Consider the following 15420-nt stretch of genomic DNA (forward strand, 5'->3'; position numbering starts at 1 on the left):
TGTGAAGCTGAGGTCACATCCCAAGGGCCCCACCCTCCATCCTGGGTCTGTGCAGGGCTGACTCACAACTGGCCACGTGCCAAGTTCGCTCTGGCTCTGCAGCATTTTCCAGAACCTTCTGGCTGCCCAAGCCCCTTATCTCTGCCACCGGCTGCAGCTCTTATCTGTCTCTTGCTACTGTGCGCAGTGTGATGGCGGGGAGACAGCAGTGCCCAAGCTCTGGTAAATCTCTCTTCCTCCGTTCACCTCATCTTCAAATCCACCCTCAGCCCTCTCTCCTGTTTGCGTCCCCTCTCTCCCGAGGCGAGGGGAGGCCACTGTGGGGGAACTGTCTGAGTCTGTAAAGTGATGGGGTGACCCTAGAGGGGAGATGGAAGAAGAGATGGGCCGGAAAAGCTCTCTGCCTTTGGAAATGGAATCAGATATTATTAAAAAGCACCAGAGAGAGGAAAAGAAATAGAAATGGCTGATAAACTCATGAAAATATGCTCAACTTCCGTCATAGTGAAAGAAATTCAAATCAAGACGACAAGACCATGTTTGCCTAGCAGATCATCAAAGATTTTCAGGTGTGGTCAAACCCAGTGTCGGCAGGAGTGAGGGGGAGGGGAAAGTATACCTGCAGTACTGTTGTGGTACTGGAAATTGGTCCAGCCTTTGGGAAAAAGTCTATGAAAATTAGAATATGCCAGCTCTTTGACTCAGAGGTTGTGCTCCTAGGAGCTGGCCTTTTATTTATTTATTTTTATTTTTTTGAGATGGAGTCTCACTCTTTTGCCCAGGCTGAAGTGCAGTGGTGTGATCTTGGCTCACTGCAACCTCCACCCACCAGGTTCAAGCAATTCTCCTGCCTCAGCCTCCCAAGCAGCTGGGATTATAGGCACCTGCCACCACGCCCAGCTAATTTTTGTATTTTTAGTAGAGATGGGGTTTCACCATGTTGGCCAGGCTGGTCTCGAACTCCTGACCTCAGGTGATCCACCCACCTCGGCCTCCCAAACTGCTGGGATTACAGGCGTGAGCCATGGCTCCCAGCGAGCTGGCCTTTTAGATACACTAGCAACTATGTGACAAAAAAATATGTGCAAGGCTGTTCACTGTAGCATTTGCTTGCCATCGCAGAGACAAACAAACGAAAGCTAGAAGCAAACTAAATGTCCATCAAAATGGAATTGGATCAATAAATGATGCAGCAGCCACAGAATGAACACATGTTATGAGAGGAGGTAGGAAGGTGTCCAAGACACAGAGCATGGAAAGAAAGTAAGAGCTGGGGAGGAGGGGAAGGTTTGCGAATAAAAGCACGCGATAGCAAGATGCTAAACAATCTCATAGTTGACTGTTAGGGACAAGAATGATAATATATTCTTATCGGTTGCTGTTCATTGATACAGGCTACCAAACCCTTAATGTTTTACATCATACAAACTGGTCCAATAAAAATCCCCGCACTTTGGGAGACCGAGGTGGGCAGATCACTTGAGGTCAGGAGTTCAAGACCAGCATGGCCAGCATGGCAAAGCCCCGTTTCTACTAAAAACACAAAAATTAGCCAGGTGTGGTGGCACACGCCTGTAGTCCCAGCTATTCGGGAGGCTGAGGCAGGAGAATCGCTTGAACCCAGGAGGTGGAGGTTGCAGTGAGCTGAGATTGCACCACTGCACTCCAGCCTGGGCAACAAAGACTCTGTCTCAAAAAAACCAATAATAATTTAAGTTTGTTGCAAAAATGCAAACAAACAAAAAAAAGGTAAAGAATAGTGTGATGACATGATAGTATTTGCTATGATGCCATTTGGGTAAATTGAAATAGTATATATATATTTCTGTGTATTGTGTGTATACAAATACACAAGCACAAACGCACACACTTATAACCACACAAACACACTGGGATAGGCATACAATTTTTTCAAGACGGATACTCCAGAATGTGTTATCTCCCTTTTGGGAGAGATACCCGGGATGGGGAGGGAAGAAACTTCTATTTTTTGATTTTATGTCTTTCTATGCCATCAGAATTTTCTTTATCGTACGCATATATTGCTTTTATTTTAAAAGTAAAATAAAAAGATGCACATTGTGCACATAATTTAAGCATACATTATAAAAACGGCACCAGGGGCTCATTGGATCTGGATTTGTTTGCTGATGTCAGTGAGGCGTGGTGAAATTTAAACTTTAATAAAAGCCCATTTCTTTTTCATTTTTTTTATTTTTTAGAGACAGGGTCTCATTTTGTCACCCAGGCTGGAGGGCAATGGCGAGATCCTAGCTCACTGTAACTTCAGACTCCTGGGCTTAAGCGATCCTCCTGCCTCAACCTTCCAAGTAGCGAGGACTATGTCTATTTGCTTCAGCCAGGAATACCCAGGTCCCAGTTAGGGTCTAATTAGGGCCATGAGGAAGGCCCGTGGGCTGCTGGCCCCCTCCCCTCCCCCAGGCCGCCCTCTGTACCCCTCTGCGATCGAGGGCAGGTAATCCCTGCCCCAGCAGTGCGGGTACAACCTCTCTCCCGCTCCTCCGCCTCCGTTTCTTTGGGCTGTCTCTTTGGTGCTCCCTGCCTGGGAGACCTATTTCTGGCTTGTAGGCAACATTATTTAAAGTAACAGTTCCGCCCACTGCCTTTCCTACCAGGGAAACCCACTTCACTCCACCCAAATTGCAGCTCTCGTCTCCCTGCCTCCCAGGCGGGTGGAAGAGGCATTTGGCCAGCTTCTCGGTTTGTGAGTCCAGCGCACTGTAAGCACCTCCGATAATGACAGTAACAGCACTCATTATCCCCAATGCGCTCCCTCCTGGGCCACCAAGACACACTCAGCCCACAGCTCTGCCTGCCCCACTCACCCGTAGCTGCCAGCCCAGCAGGAGACTGGCTGAGTCCAGCCCCATCCAGGTCACCCCGGGGGTGGGGGGTGGATTAAATGGCTCCTGGAGGAGCAGCAGGGCCGGAGCTGAAGGGTCCACACCTGATCCACTCAAGAGGAAGTGCAGTGTTGGAGAAGGCACCAGGACTTCCACCTCAGGGGGACTTACACTTGACTTTCACTTCTGTTCTTTCTTAGATGTGTGGCCCAGGCAAGTTATGGGACCTTGCAAGCCTTAGTTTCCCTGACTGTAAAATGGGAATAATGATGGCCATCTTTGATGTGGGCATCCAGCGAGGCCGTGGATACAAATGCCTGCACAAATGCTTGCCAAGTGAAGGGGCAAATGTAAGAGTCATTGGCGGGGAGGCTCAGAGAGGAGGGTGAAGCAGAGGCCCTCCCCCTAGAATGGGGATCCTCTAGGGGCTTCAGCCAAGCACTAGGGGAGCATGGAGTCCCCTGCCTGGCACATTCCTCGGCTTCTGACCCCTCAACCTCCCAGTCACCTCCATGTGCCTCCTTGAGGTGGAAGAGCAGGAACCTGGCTCCTCCAGGGATGAGGAACAGTGACGGTGGCTGGGTGACCTGCAACCTTAATCTCTATTCAACGAGGAAGAGCTGCTGGGTTGTGGCCTCTGGGAGCCAGCACACACCTGCATTCACCTACCCCTAGGTCCTTTCAAAGGACTGCTCTTTATTTATTTATTATAGGAAATATATTCACAATTCAAAATTCAAAGAAAAGAAAAAGTACACAGCAAAACGTCTCTCCCACCCTTGTCCCCCAGCTGCCCTGTCATCCTGATCCCCAACATACACAGGGAGGAAACGACTGTCATTAGTTTCCTGAGTGTCTTTTCAGAACTTCTTTATGCAAATGCAAGCAAATACGCATTTAGAATCCCTCCCCATTATAAACAGGAGACATGGCCTCCTGTAGGCACTGTTCTGCTCCTTGCTTTGTGCAAGTGACAATGTATCTCAAAAATCTTTCCGTAGCTGTGCATGGAGCTTCCTCGGGCTTTTTGACAGCTGCAGAGTATTGAGGAATCTTCCGGGTGGAGGAAGATTTGCTTTCTCCCAGTTCAATGGTCAAAAGCAGCAGGCGGTAGAGAGAGCACCTCAGGGGCTGGGCTTGGGGCTGGGGGCAGAAAGAGGGCAGTGAAGGAAGATACGCCAAGAATCCACACCCGTTCTCGTCATCTCCATCACAGATTGTCCTGATTTTAATCCGGCAGGACCCTGCGGCTCAGTCCACTCTTCGAAGATGAAGAGATGAGCTCAGGGTGGAGGGCGCAAGACAACAGTGGGAGGAAGAGCCAGGACAGATAATTGGATTTTTAGCGACAAGAGAGGAGCAGGGGGGACAATAACAGCCTAACAAATGTGGCATCTTCTCCAGCACATGAGGAAACACACAATGCCCTTTTTGGTTCGAGTCCTTGAGTGTCACAGTTGATATTTAAAATGATTCTTACTCGCATTAAATAAGATATTTCAATTCCACGAAGCTGTCAGGAGCTGATGCGGACACCAGAAATAATAGGCACACTCTCCTTGTATTGTCCTCGTTAATAAATCAGACGCCTGGAGATGCACGCGGTGATGCTCCCATGGAGGAAGGAGGTGTGTGTGAGTGCACATGTGCACACTTGTGCACATACACGGAGCACACTCATGCATACTCACCCATGGTACAACGCACATTCATGCACGCCGTGCTGTGCACACACATGCAAACTCATGCAATCCACCTCCCTGCAAACTCATACATGACTGTGCACATACATTTGTGCACACACATGTTTGGATGAGGCCTCCTCTCCTCAAGTGAACTGTGCTCAGGTAGAGAAGGCAGGTGGGTCATCATGTCCACTGGGGGGTCAGGGGACCATGTGTGCCTGCTGCCTGCAGGTGTCGCCCCAGATGTCTGAGGCCAACACAGGTTCCAGGAACAGCAGTGGGCCACTGAGCTCGGGAACCCAGATTTCCTTCCCTCTCCCCATGGACTTTTGGGCAGCAGGCAGGAGAAGCAGCAAGTGCTGAGCATGTGCATGTCTGTGCGTGTGTGTGTGTGTGTCCTCAGACACCTGTGAGCACACACTGGGCCTGTTCCTGCAGCAGGAAGACTTAGGTGGTGATCGAGGACCTGGCCACTGGACTGGTGGCCGGCTAGAAAAAGACTGACTATATTTGTGGATTTGCTTTTGCAAAGATTCTTCAGGAAATCGGGCAAAACTCTGTCCAGGGCGATCAAAAGGGAAAAGAACATGTACCAGGTAATAAATAATAACAATATACCATTATGCAATTAACATAATAACTATTATTATAATAAATGTCACTGCTCTAAGGACTTTATATTTTTTAATCACATTGCTGTAATTGTATTTTATTTTTTAAGTCTTATTTTTATTTATTTATTTTTGAGACAGAGTCTCGCTCTGTCACCCAGCCTGGAGTGCAATGGCACAATCTCGGCTCACTGCAACCTCCGTCTCCTGGGTTCAAGCAATTCTCCTGCCTCAGCCTCCCAAGTAGCTGGGATTACGGGCACCTGCCCCCATGCCCGGCTAATTTTTAATATTTTTTAGTAGAGATGGGGTTTCGCCATGTTGGCCAGGCTGATCTTGAACTCCTGACCTCAGGTGATCCACCTCCTTTGGCCTCCCAAAGTGCTGGGATTACAGGCGTGAGCCACTGTACCTGACCTAAGTTTTATTTTCTTTATCATCACCCAGGTATTAAGCCTAGTACCCAATAGTTATTTTTTTCTGCTCCTCTCCCTCTAGGACTTTAACGTATCCACTCATCTGATCCTCACAGTACTGCAGAGGCAGTGCTAACATAAACCTCGGTTCACAGATGAGAAAAACGGGGCCCAGAGAGAGAAAGTAACTTACCCCAGGTCACACAGCTAAGTACCTAGAATGATGGGACAGTCTGGCCCATTGACAACATGAACCTAACGGGATATGTATCCGATGGCTTGGGGTCTCTCATTCCTAGGGTAAGAAGAGGATAGTTCGGCTGTCTACCTCCTCCTGCTTCACATAGACAGAGGCAGAGTATTTCTGGGCAGGGCCTAAATTTTGATCTAGGCCATGTTAATCAAAAATTGTTGCTGAGTGCTGGCCAGTCTAGTACACTGGAGGCCCAGGAAGAAGGAGCTGGATGGCTTGGGCAGCCCCTTTAGTGGATCTTTTGATTGTGGAAGGAGAGGCTCAGGCATGGAAAGGGTTGAGGCAAACAGAGCTCACCTGTTCGGTATGATCAAGTGGCTGTAATGTTGAATTTCCCTTCTGGTAGCAGCCCTAAGGATCTGCTGGGGGTGAGTGGGGGTGAAAATGAGAGACAGAGACAGAGAGAGACAGTCAGAGAGACAGAGAGATCTAGGGAGAAAGAGAGAGAGACAGGGAGGCTGAGATGGAGAGAGACACACACAGAGAAACAGAGTCAGAGAAAGAGACAAAGAGAGACAGGGGACAGAGACAGAGAGGTAAAGCCCTCTCCCCATGTAGGACACAGCCAGAGGCCGGGTAGTTGGGAGCAGGCTGGCCAGGGAGGGTGATGTCAGCTGCACCCTGTGGTGAGGACAGCCAGGGCACCTCAGGAACAGCAATGTCTGTTTTTCTATTTTAAGCAGTTTCTGTCCTGTGCTGTAATTCCCCTCCCACATCTTCGGTGAGAGTTGGTGACAGGCACAGCCTGTTCTGTGGATGGTACTTGGGGAAGGATGCTGTGCTCCTGGCTGGGAGGCTACAGGGCCGCCATTTGAAGGGGAGGCAGCAGCCTCAGGAGGGGAAGGGTTAGGGGAAGATCCGGAATTGGTTCTGGAGCAGGCACTGGGGAGGGGACAGGCAAGCCCAGGCGAGCTGAGCACGGGGTTCCAGAATCCTTGGAAGGTGGGGGAGGGCCCTGGACTTGTCCCCTCCCAGAGGACAGACACTGGGATAGGGAAGGATTCTGTGTCCCTCGGAGGAGGGGGGACTTGGGCACAGTGTGTTCCCCCCACCTTCTAGGGAACCTGAGGGTGGAGAGGGGGTACCCGCAGTGGACAGAACAGGGAGGAACCCCTGACTCTGATGTGATGGTTAATTTTAGGTGTCAACTTGACTGGGATGAAGGATGCCTGCCCAGACAGCTGGTAAAGGATGGTCTGGGTGTGTCTGTGAGGGTGTTTCTAGAAGAGATCAGTATTTGGATCAGCAGATGGAGTAAAGAAGAGAGAGACAGGGAGACAGAGAAACAGAGACAGAGAAAGAGAGAGACAGAAAGACAGGAGACAGAGTGGTGAAAGCCCTCTCCCCTCGCAGGACGTAGCCGGATCCCTCACCAACGCAGGACGGAACCATCCAATCCACTGAGGGCTCGGATGGCACAAAAAGGCGGAGGGAGGAGGAATGTGCTGTCTTGGGAGGAGATGCCCATCTTCTCCTGCCCTTGGACGCTGGGGCTCCTGGTTCCCGGCCTGCAGACTCTAGGACTTACACCCATGGGCTCTCGGTTTCCAGGCCTTTGGGCCCAGACTGAATTACGGTACTGGATTTCTTGGGTTTCCAGCTTGCAGGCGGCAGTTGGTGTTCTTGGCTGGCCTCCATAACCACATGGGCCAAGTCCCATAACGAACCTCGTGCATCTGTCTCTCTCCCATTGCTTCTGCTTCTCTGCACAACCCCGACTAATACACCGACCGTAGAATATGGGAGATAGGCCGGGTGTGGTGGCTCACGCCTGGAATCCCAGCACTTTGGGAGGCTGAGGCAGGAGGATCACCTGAGGTCAGGAGTTCAAGACCAGCCTGGCCAACATGGTGAAACCCCACCTCTACTACCAATACAAAAATTAGTGGGGCATGGTGGCGTGTGCCTGTAATCCTGGCTACTCAAGAGGCTGAGGCAGGAGAATCTCTTGAACCAGGGAGTTGGAGGTTGCAGTGAGCCAAGATCACATCACTGTGCTCTGGCCTGCGTGACAAGACTCCATCTCAAAAAAAAAAAGAAGAAGAAGCAGGTCTGTCTCCTGTTGGTTCTGGTTCCTCATAGGGCTGAGCAGGGCAGGATACAGATGTGTCTGAAAGCGGCTGCTCAGCCGAGGCACAACCTGGGGCTTGCACAAGCACCTGCTGCTGGGCGGTTTGCTTCATAAGGGGAGGAGATGTCTCAGGGCCTGCTGGCCACCACTGAGCCTCCCCCGCTTTGCCAGAAAAGCCCGTGAGGCTCCGATTGATCCCCCGGCCCTGCGGTCAATGAGAGGATGGCGGTGTTATCGAGCTGGGGGCCGCTATCCCGGTGACAGCTCTGGCTTGCGATGGCTGGGGGAAGGCGTCTGTCGGCCCTGGGACCTTCTGGGCCAATTAAGTGCTCTCAATGAACAAGGATAAGGACTTCATTAAACTGTGATCCATCAGCCCAGTGGTCCCCACAGAGGTCTGGCTGGATGAGAAAGCAAAGGAGAGAGCTGAGGGAGCCAGTGAGGTGAGATGAGGGCAGGACAGGGCTGGGAGCCCAAGACGGCTACTCCTCCTGGGTGAGCGGGACTCCCACTGCTTGAGAAAATAAGCAGGGATCCCTCCCTAAATAACAACCACAGTAGCAGCATCGGGTTGTGAGCCAAACACTTGACACACGCTATCTGGTTCATTCCCAGGTCAACTACAGGGGAAGGGACTCCTCTTCCCATTTTACAGCCAGGGGACCTGGGCTCAGAGAGGTTGAGCATGTGGCCTGAAGTCACCCAGCTAGGAGGCAGCAAAGTGATTCCCTTTCAGGCCCATGTGACCCCATCCGTGCTCCTGCCCTATACCTGCCCGCCCTGACCCGTCCTGGGGCCCTCAAGACTGCTCTGCGGTAGGTCTTCTCTGCTTGTTTTTGCTTCACAATCCAGAAAGAAATTCCTCTGGGGAGCTGCCCAGGCCTTGCCTTGATGCAGGAGCTGTGTCTGAGCCCAGCTGGGAGAGAGCCGCTACATAGATGGGAGGAGAGTGGGGCGACCCGCGGACAACTCTGCACCGACACAAGACAGAACTTTTTTTTTTTTTTTTTTTTTTTGAGATGGAGTCTCATCCTTTTGCTCAGGCTAAAGTGCAGTGGCGCGATCTCGGCTCACTGCAGCCTCCCTGGTTCAAGCAATTCTCCTGCCTCAGCCTCCCGAGTAGTTGGGACTACAGATACGTGCACCACCACACCTGGCTAATCTTTGTGTGTGTGTGTGTGTGTGTGTGTGTGTGTATGTGTGTGTGTATATATATATGTATGTATATATGTATGTATATGTGTATATGTATATATATGTATGTGTATATATATGTATATATATGTATGTGTATATATATGTATATATATGTATATGTATATATATATGTGTGTGTGTGTGTGTGTGTATATATATATATATATATATTTATATATATATATATATATATATATTTTTTTTTTTTTTTAGTAGAGTTGGGGTTTCACCACGTTGGCCAGGCTGGTCTCAAACTCCTGGCCTCAAGTGATCCACCTGCCTCGGTCTCCCAAAGTGCTGGGATTACAGGCATGAGCCACTGCGCCCAGCCAGACAGAACGTTTTATTACTAGGAGCAGAAAGGAATGAAAAACCACAGAAGACAAGCCCTGTCCAGGGTATAAGGAGTTAAAACTCAGTCTTCAGTTTAAATGGCTGGGAAAAAAGAAATGCTGAGATTTGAGGGAGGCAGTGTGGTTATTTTATTTTATTTTTTAAAAAACAAGAAAACAGAAAAGCAAAATGAAAGGAGCATCTCCTCTCACCTCGATTACAATTGTGCTTTAGAATTTCCTCACCGCTCCCCGCTCCTCCGGCTCGGGGAGGAAAGCCTCGCCACCCAGCTCCCACTCCTGGGGTTGGGGAGGACTCCTTTGTCCCGGGCTCCTGGCACCCGGCTGAAATTCTTTATGATTCTTTTCATGCCAAGGTGGATCAGAAAGAAACCAAATTAAGACAAGCTGATAAAGAGGCTGCATGGAAACCAGGCTTCAGGGAACCAAGGGGCTGGGGCTCTGTGGCCGAATCATGGTGGGTGGCCAGAGCAGCCCCATGGACCCACTTCTCCGGGCTCACTCCAGCCTCCCAGGTGTGCAGGGGAGACTCAGTTGCTTCTCAAACTGGGAGAAGCGGCCTCCTAATAAGACCTGCTGAATGCACAGTGGTGCTGGCTGAGAAGCCTCTTCCCTCACAGTGAGTGGGTTCCCTGATGCGAGAGGCCCTACTTGTTTGAGGGAAGCAGGACACTGGGGCATCCAGGGGCGTATTTGTTTCTCAGGGCTGCTGTAACAAAGCACCATGGCCTGGGTGCCTTAAAACGACAGAAATTTCTTCTTCCACAGCCCTGGCTGCCAGGAGTCTGAGTCAAGCTCAGCAGCACCATGCCCTGCATGAAGGATCCCAGGGAGAATCCTTCCTGCCTCCTTCAGCTCTGGGGGCCCCAGGTGTTCCTTGGCTTGCAGCCACATCACTCCAATCTCTGCCTCTGCCTTTATTTGGTGTTCTCTTCTCTGGGTTTCTCTCCTCCCCCACTTTTCTTTCTTAATAGAGATGGGATCTCACTATGTTGTCCAGGCTGATCTTGAACTCCTGGGCTCAAATGATCCTCTTTCTTTGGCCTCCCAAAGTGCCGGGATTATAGCCATGAGCCACTGTGCCTGGGCTCTCCTGTCTTCTTAAAAGGACCCCATCGTATTGGCTTTAGGGACTACCTTAGTCTAGTATGACCTCAGCTGAACCAATTACCTCTGCAATGACCTTATTTCCAAATAAGGTCACACTCTGAGGCACTAGGCGTTAGGACATCAACATATATTTTTAGAGGAGACACAATTCAACTCATAACAGCTGAGGCTTGAGCCGTGGGGTGACTTAGAGATGGGCGGGACTTGGTAGGGTGTGTGTATGTGGAGAGGTGGGAGCTGGGCCTCTCCACCTCCCTCCTGAGGGCAGGAAGGCTCAGGTAAGTGCAGGTGCTGATGGAGGCTGAGGGGGCGAGGGAAGAAAAGGAGGAGGTGCTGTCCAGTGCTGATCCTGAGGGGAAGGCAAGGATGGTTGAAGAGTGCCAGGCGTGATAAGTAGATGTCAGAGACAGAGATTCCTGAGACATCGACTGTGGTGCTGGCCAGAGAAAGAGCCTGGCTGGGATAACGGGGAGGCTGGACTTCATGGCTGGGCCAGTCCCCACCAGGCCTTATGGGCTGGGCTGAAGAATTTGGGCCTTTTCCTGAGGATAGTAGAAATATGCTGAGGGTATTAACCAGGGCTATAAAACAGAGCTTAGCAAACTATATTCATGGGTCAAATCTACAGCCACAGCCTCTACAATAGGTGTACCAGGAAGAAAGAGTTCACACATTTTTAGCAAAATATAACAATATCAAGTGTAATGTTTCATGTCAGATGAAAATTATATGATATTCAAATTTCTGTATCCATAAATAGTTTTACTGGGACACAGCCATGCACATTTGTGGACACAGCGTCTGCAGCTGCTCTCCTGCTGCACAGGCAGAGTTGAAGGTTGCCATAAACTGTGTGGCCTGTGAACCCTCAAACATTCACTGTCTGTCCTGGACCAGAAAATGCTTGCCAACCCCTGGTGCAAAATAGGCAGGTTTACATGTGTACGAAGGTCACTCTGACTGCAGACTGGAGAGGGAACTGGAGTTGGTCAAGGCCACAGGGTTAGAGGCCAATTTGGTCTTTGCCATAGACTGGAGAGAGGTGATGGGGCTGACCATGTACAATGATGCTGGGGGGCCAGGGGACAGTGGAAAGATGTCACTGGTGCTAGCATGAGGGGGCACCTGATGGTCTGGGGTAGGCGGCAGTTTCAGTGGGCACAGCTGGCAAGGAGAGGAGGGGTCTGGACAGGTGGAGAATGCAAAGTTGTGTGCTAAAAAGAGGAGAGTGGCTCCCGGCAAGAGAGGGAATGTGGGGCAGAGGGAAGTCTATAGGAGGGACTTTGGTTTTTAAAGATGTGAGACTTGAGCAGGTTTAAACATTGGTGGTGGGAGCAGTTAGGAGAAGTAGAGGCTGAGAGCAGTGACTCACATCTGTAATCCCATCACTTTGGGAAGCCGAGGCAGGGGGACGGCTTGAGGCCAGGAGTTTGAGACCAACCTGGGCAACATAGCAAGAATCTATCTCTACCAAAAAATAAAACAATTAGCCAAGTGTGGAGGTATGTGCTTGTAGTCCCAGCTACTTGGGAGGCTGAGGAAGGAGGATTGCTTGAGACCAGGAGTTGGAGGCTACAGTAAGCTATGATTGCACCACTGCACTACAGCCTGAGTGACAGAGTGAGACTCTGCTTCTAAAAAAAAAAAAAAAAAAAAAAAGAGGCAGAAAGAGAGGGCAAGTGATGGAGCCAACAGCCAGCTCCTGAGGGTCTGGGGTCCTGTACCCAGTGGAGTGCAGTCCCTGGCAGAAGGAGAGGCCTGGTAGGGCAGAGTTAACTGAAGCAGGGTGACAGGAAGTGGGAGAAATCAATTCCTTACAATGCTCCTACTTCCTGGGGAAGGGGGCAGTGAAGGGAGGGGCGGTGGGCTGGCGGTTCAAAACAGCATCTGTTGAGGATGAGTAACCTGACTGGGAAACTGTGGGAAGGCACAGGTGAGGGCAGTAGCTTGACTTTGTTTTTTATTTGTTGCTTTTTTGAGATGGACTCTCACTCTGTCGCCCAGGCTGGAGTGCAATGGCGCAATCTCGGCTCACTGCAACCTCTGCCTCCCAGATTTAAGTGATTCTCGTGCCTCAGCCTCCCGAGTAGCTGGGACTACAGGCACGCACCACCATGCCCGGCTAATTTTTGTATTTTTAGTAGAGATGGGGTTTCACCATGTTGGCCAGGCTGGTCTTGAACTCCTGACCTCAGGTGATCCACCCGCCTCAGCCTCCCAAAGTGCTGGGATTACAAGTGTGAGCCACTGTGCCCAGCCAGTACCTTGACTTTGTACAGGTGCTATCTACACAGGTGGCTGGCTTTCTTCAGCAGGGCTCAGTAGCCTTATGGAAGGAGCAAGGTGGGTTGAAAGTTGGGCTGACCCAAGGCTGGGGCTCTTCCAGGAAGCTGTGACAGATGGACCCCAATGCCAGGGGGCTGAAGACACTGGCAAGAGGGAGGCTGAGATGGTGATGACTGGGTCCACTGGCTGGGGAAGCAGGTTCAGCCAGCAGGCAACTGACAGATGGGGCGGGAGGGCCAGGGTAAGAGGTGGAAGGCGTTCCACAGCCCTGCTGCTCACAGTGAGGTGTGGGGACCAGCCACAGGAGCGTCACCTGGGAGCGGGTCAGAAATGCAGAATCTTGGGCCCCACCCCAGACCTGCTGATCAGAATCTGCATGTGTGGTGTTCCCAGGGTGAGTCCTTGCACACACAACTTTACCATGCTCTGTGATGAGATGGAGCCACGGGTGTGAGGGAGATGGGAGGTCAGAATCAAGGCTTCAAATGGGAAACGGGTCTAGGTGATGACGGAGGTCAGGGTGCTGCCTCATCGGTCCTCAGGTTCCCAGTCTGTGAGATGACTTTGATCATAGTTAATGAAAAGGCTGATCATAGCCCCAAAGAGTCACAGTCTTTAACAACCTCGGCTGTGGCTTCAGACAACCCTTTACTCTGGTCCCAGCTCTGTCACTCACTGAGCACGTGACCTCAGACAAGGGATAGAACCTTGTTATACCTCGGACACTCCATCTGTATAACGGGCAAAGTAAGGATGACTGTCCCTTTTTTTTTGAGACGGAGCCTTGCTCTGTCGCCCAGGCTGGAGTGCAGTGGCGCGATCTCGGCTCACTGCAAGCTCTGCCTCCTGGGTTCACGCCATTCTCCTGCCTCAGCCTCCCAAGTAGCTGGGACTACAGGCGCCTGCCACCACGCCTGGCTAATTTTTTGTATTTTTTAGTAGAGACGGGGTTTCACCGTGTTAGCCAGGATGGTCTCGATCTCCTAACCTTGTGATTCGCCTGCCCCAACTTCCTAAAGTGCTGGGATTACAGGCATGAGCCACCACGCCCGGCCAAGATGGCTGTCTTATAGAAAATACAAGTTCAGGCAGCTCGCTGTAAGGCTTGTTTTCAAACACACATTTGTTCCACTGCGATTGATATATTAGAGAACGATATGAGCATCTGTGGATTTTGCATTTGCTGTGCACAGTTTTGTCTGCAAGAAGCAGGAGTCAATACAGAAAATTGCACCCAGCTGAGGTGGGATGCACAGTTGTGCACAAAATGCACACAGCTCTGGGGTCCCCAGCTCACTGCAAATGTTACACACCCACACCTGGTGTTGCAACTTTTTTTTTTTTTTTTCCAATTTCCGACAACCTTCCTTCTACCACTTAACAGTAACTTATAAGCTGCACCCCTTCTGACACCCACTTCCGCAAGCACACTGGGAGCCTTTTCCAAGGCAAAGTGCCATAAGTATTATAGTAGTTATGCGTTTCTTAACCATTTAATATGTGTAAAATTGTGCAATTATCTTCATTAAGTTCCTTTCTTTTTTAATGTGTTGCTAATGAAGTTTTTGCGTGTTGCTGCCCCCACTCCATTTCCCCCGTAAGCCCTTTGTTTTTTATCGCACAGTTTGGCATAGCATGGTGATTTCTACCAACGTATCCGTCACACAGCAGCAGAACTGACTGCAAAGTGCTTAGCACAGCGCTTGACGTTCGGTAAGCAGTCACGAAATGTGTCCTTATGTGGTTTCCCACTGTTATGAATCATTCTACCCATACTGGAGCTACACCATGCCAGACACTGTGTTAGGCACTGGGAATTAGCAGTAATAATGACAACAACAAAAGCAATAGCAATACCCTTGTCTCCATGTACTGTGGTATCAGCAGCTGCTTGTGTTTAGGTGAAAACGTTACTGCTGCTGCCACACTTGGCTTAGAAATGCACTGTTCCCCAGCTCTACTTCGAGTCCATTCATTTCCTGTTGCTACCCACGAAGACAATAGTGGTCAGTTCCCTGGAGGCCAGAGGGAAGGAGTTAAACATCAGGTCTTTCAGCATCTCCAAATCCCAGGGACCTTAAGGGAATGAAGACTTGGTCATCTTTGGGGAGGAATGACTTTGTCAAGCTAATTCATACTACGATTGGAGGTGGCGGGGTAAGTGGATTGGAAGCATTAACTTGGAGGGGGGTACCAGGCAGGGATTGGTGAGTTGTGATGGCATGAACCCTGCCAAGCACCGCCCAGATGGCCGGAGCTTCCTGTCCCGCTGAGTCCTGCTCTCTGGGATTCACCAGGCTCTGGGTTTCCTTAGACCAGATGTTCCAGGATTACTGGATGTTGATAAGGCTGGAGGATGAGCCACAGTCTCCAGGTTCTTCCCTATAACGAGCTTGGTAGGTCAAGGGATGCTGGAAAGAGGCCGCCCTGGTGTGCCTGCTGTTGGCAGCCCTGCCTGAAGGCCAGCATTGACCCTCTATATCTGCTGCAAGGCTTCAGGTGTGGCTGAGGCTCTCTGCTCTGGGATCTGTATCTATACTTATGCCCACCGCTATATCATCAATGTCTATTTCA

The 15420-nt window shown here is 50.5% G+C and overlaps 1 protein-coding gene across 5 annotated transcripts in view, besides 3 other annotated features; it reads right to left on the reverse strand.

The window, feature by feature from the left end:
- The window catches only part of SDK2 (sidekick cell adhesion molecule 2), a 310062-nt gene that overhangs the window by 140031 nt on the left and 154611 nt on the right, over positions 1-15420 (reverse strand). The window lies entirely within an intron of this gene.
- Positions 6370-6419: an enhancer, noted in NCBI's record as "active region_12699". NCBI's record gives its function as "activates an Ori minimal core promoter by ATAC-STARR-seq in GM12878 lymphoblastoid cells {active_cell/tissue: GM12878}" and the evidence as "EXISTENCE:reporter gene assay evidence [ECO:0000049][PMID:35858748]".
- Positions 6712-6881: an enhancer, noted in NCBI's record as "experimental_47326 CRE fragment used in MPRA reporter constructs". NCBI's record gives its function as "activates a minimal promoter by MPRAs in K562 erythroleukemia cells, with activity observed for the introgressed 17:71477350 or rs372035646 variant allele {active_cell/tissue: K562}" and the evidence as "EXISTENCE:reporter gene assay evidence [ECO:0000049][PMID:34662402]".
- Position 6797: a transcriptional cis regulatory region, noted in NCBI's record as "Neanderthal adaptively introgressed variant 17:71477350 (GRCh37/hg19 assembly coordinates) or rs372035646 in the experimental_47326 CRE". NCBI's record gives its function as "modulates activity of the experimental_47326 enhancer by MPRAs in K562 erythroleukemia cells {active_cell/tissue: K562}" and the evidence as "EXISTENCE:reporter gene assay evidence [ECO:0000049][PMID:34662402]".

Source organism: Homo sapiens, chromosome 17 (assembly GCF_000001405.40).
Source record: "Homo sapiens chromosome 17, GRCh38.p14 Primary Assembly".
NCBI classification, from domain to species: Eukaryota; Metazoa; Chordata; class Mammalia; order Primates; family Hominidae; genus Homo; species Homo sapiens.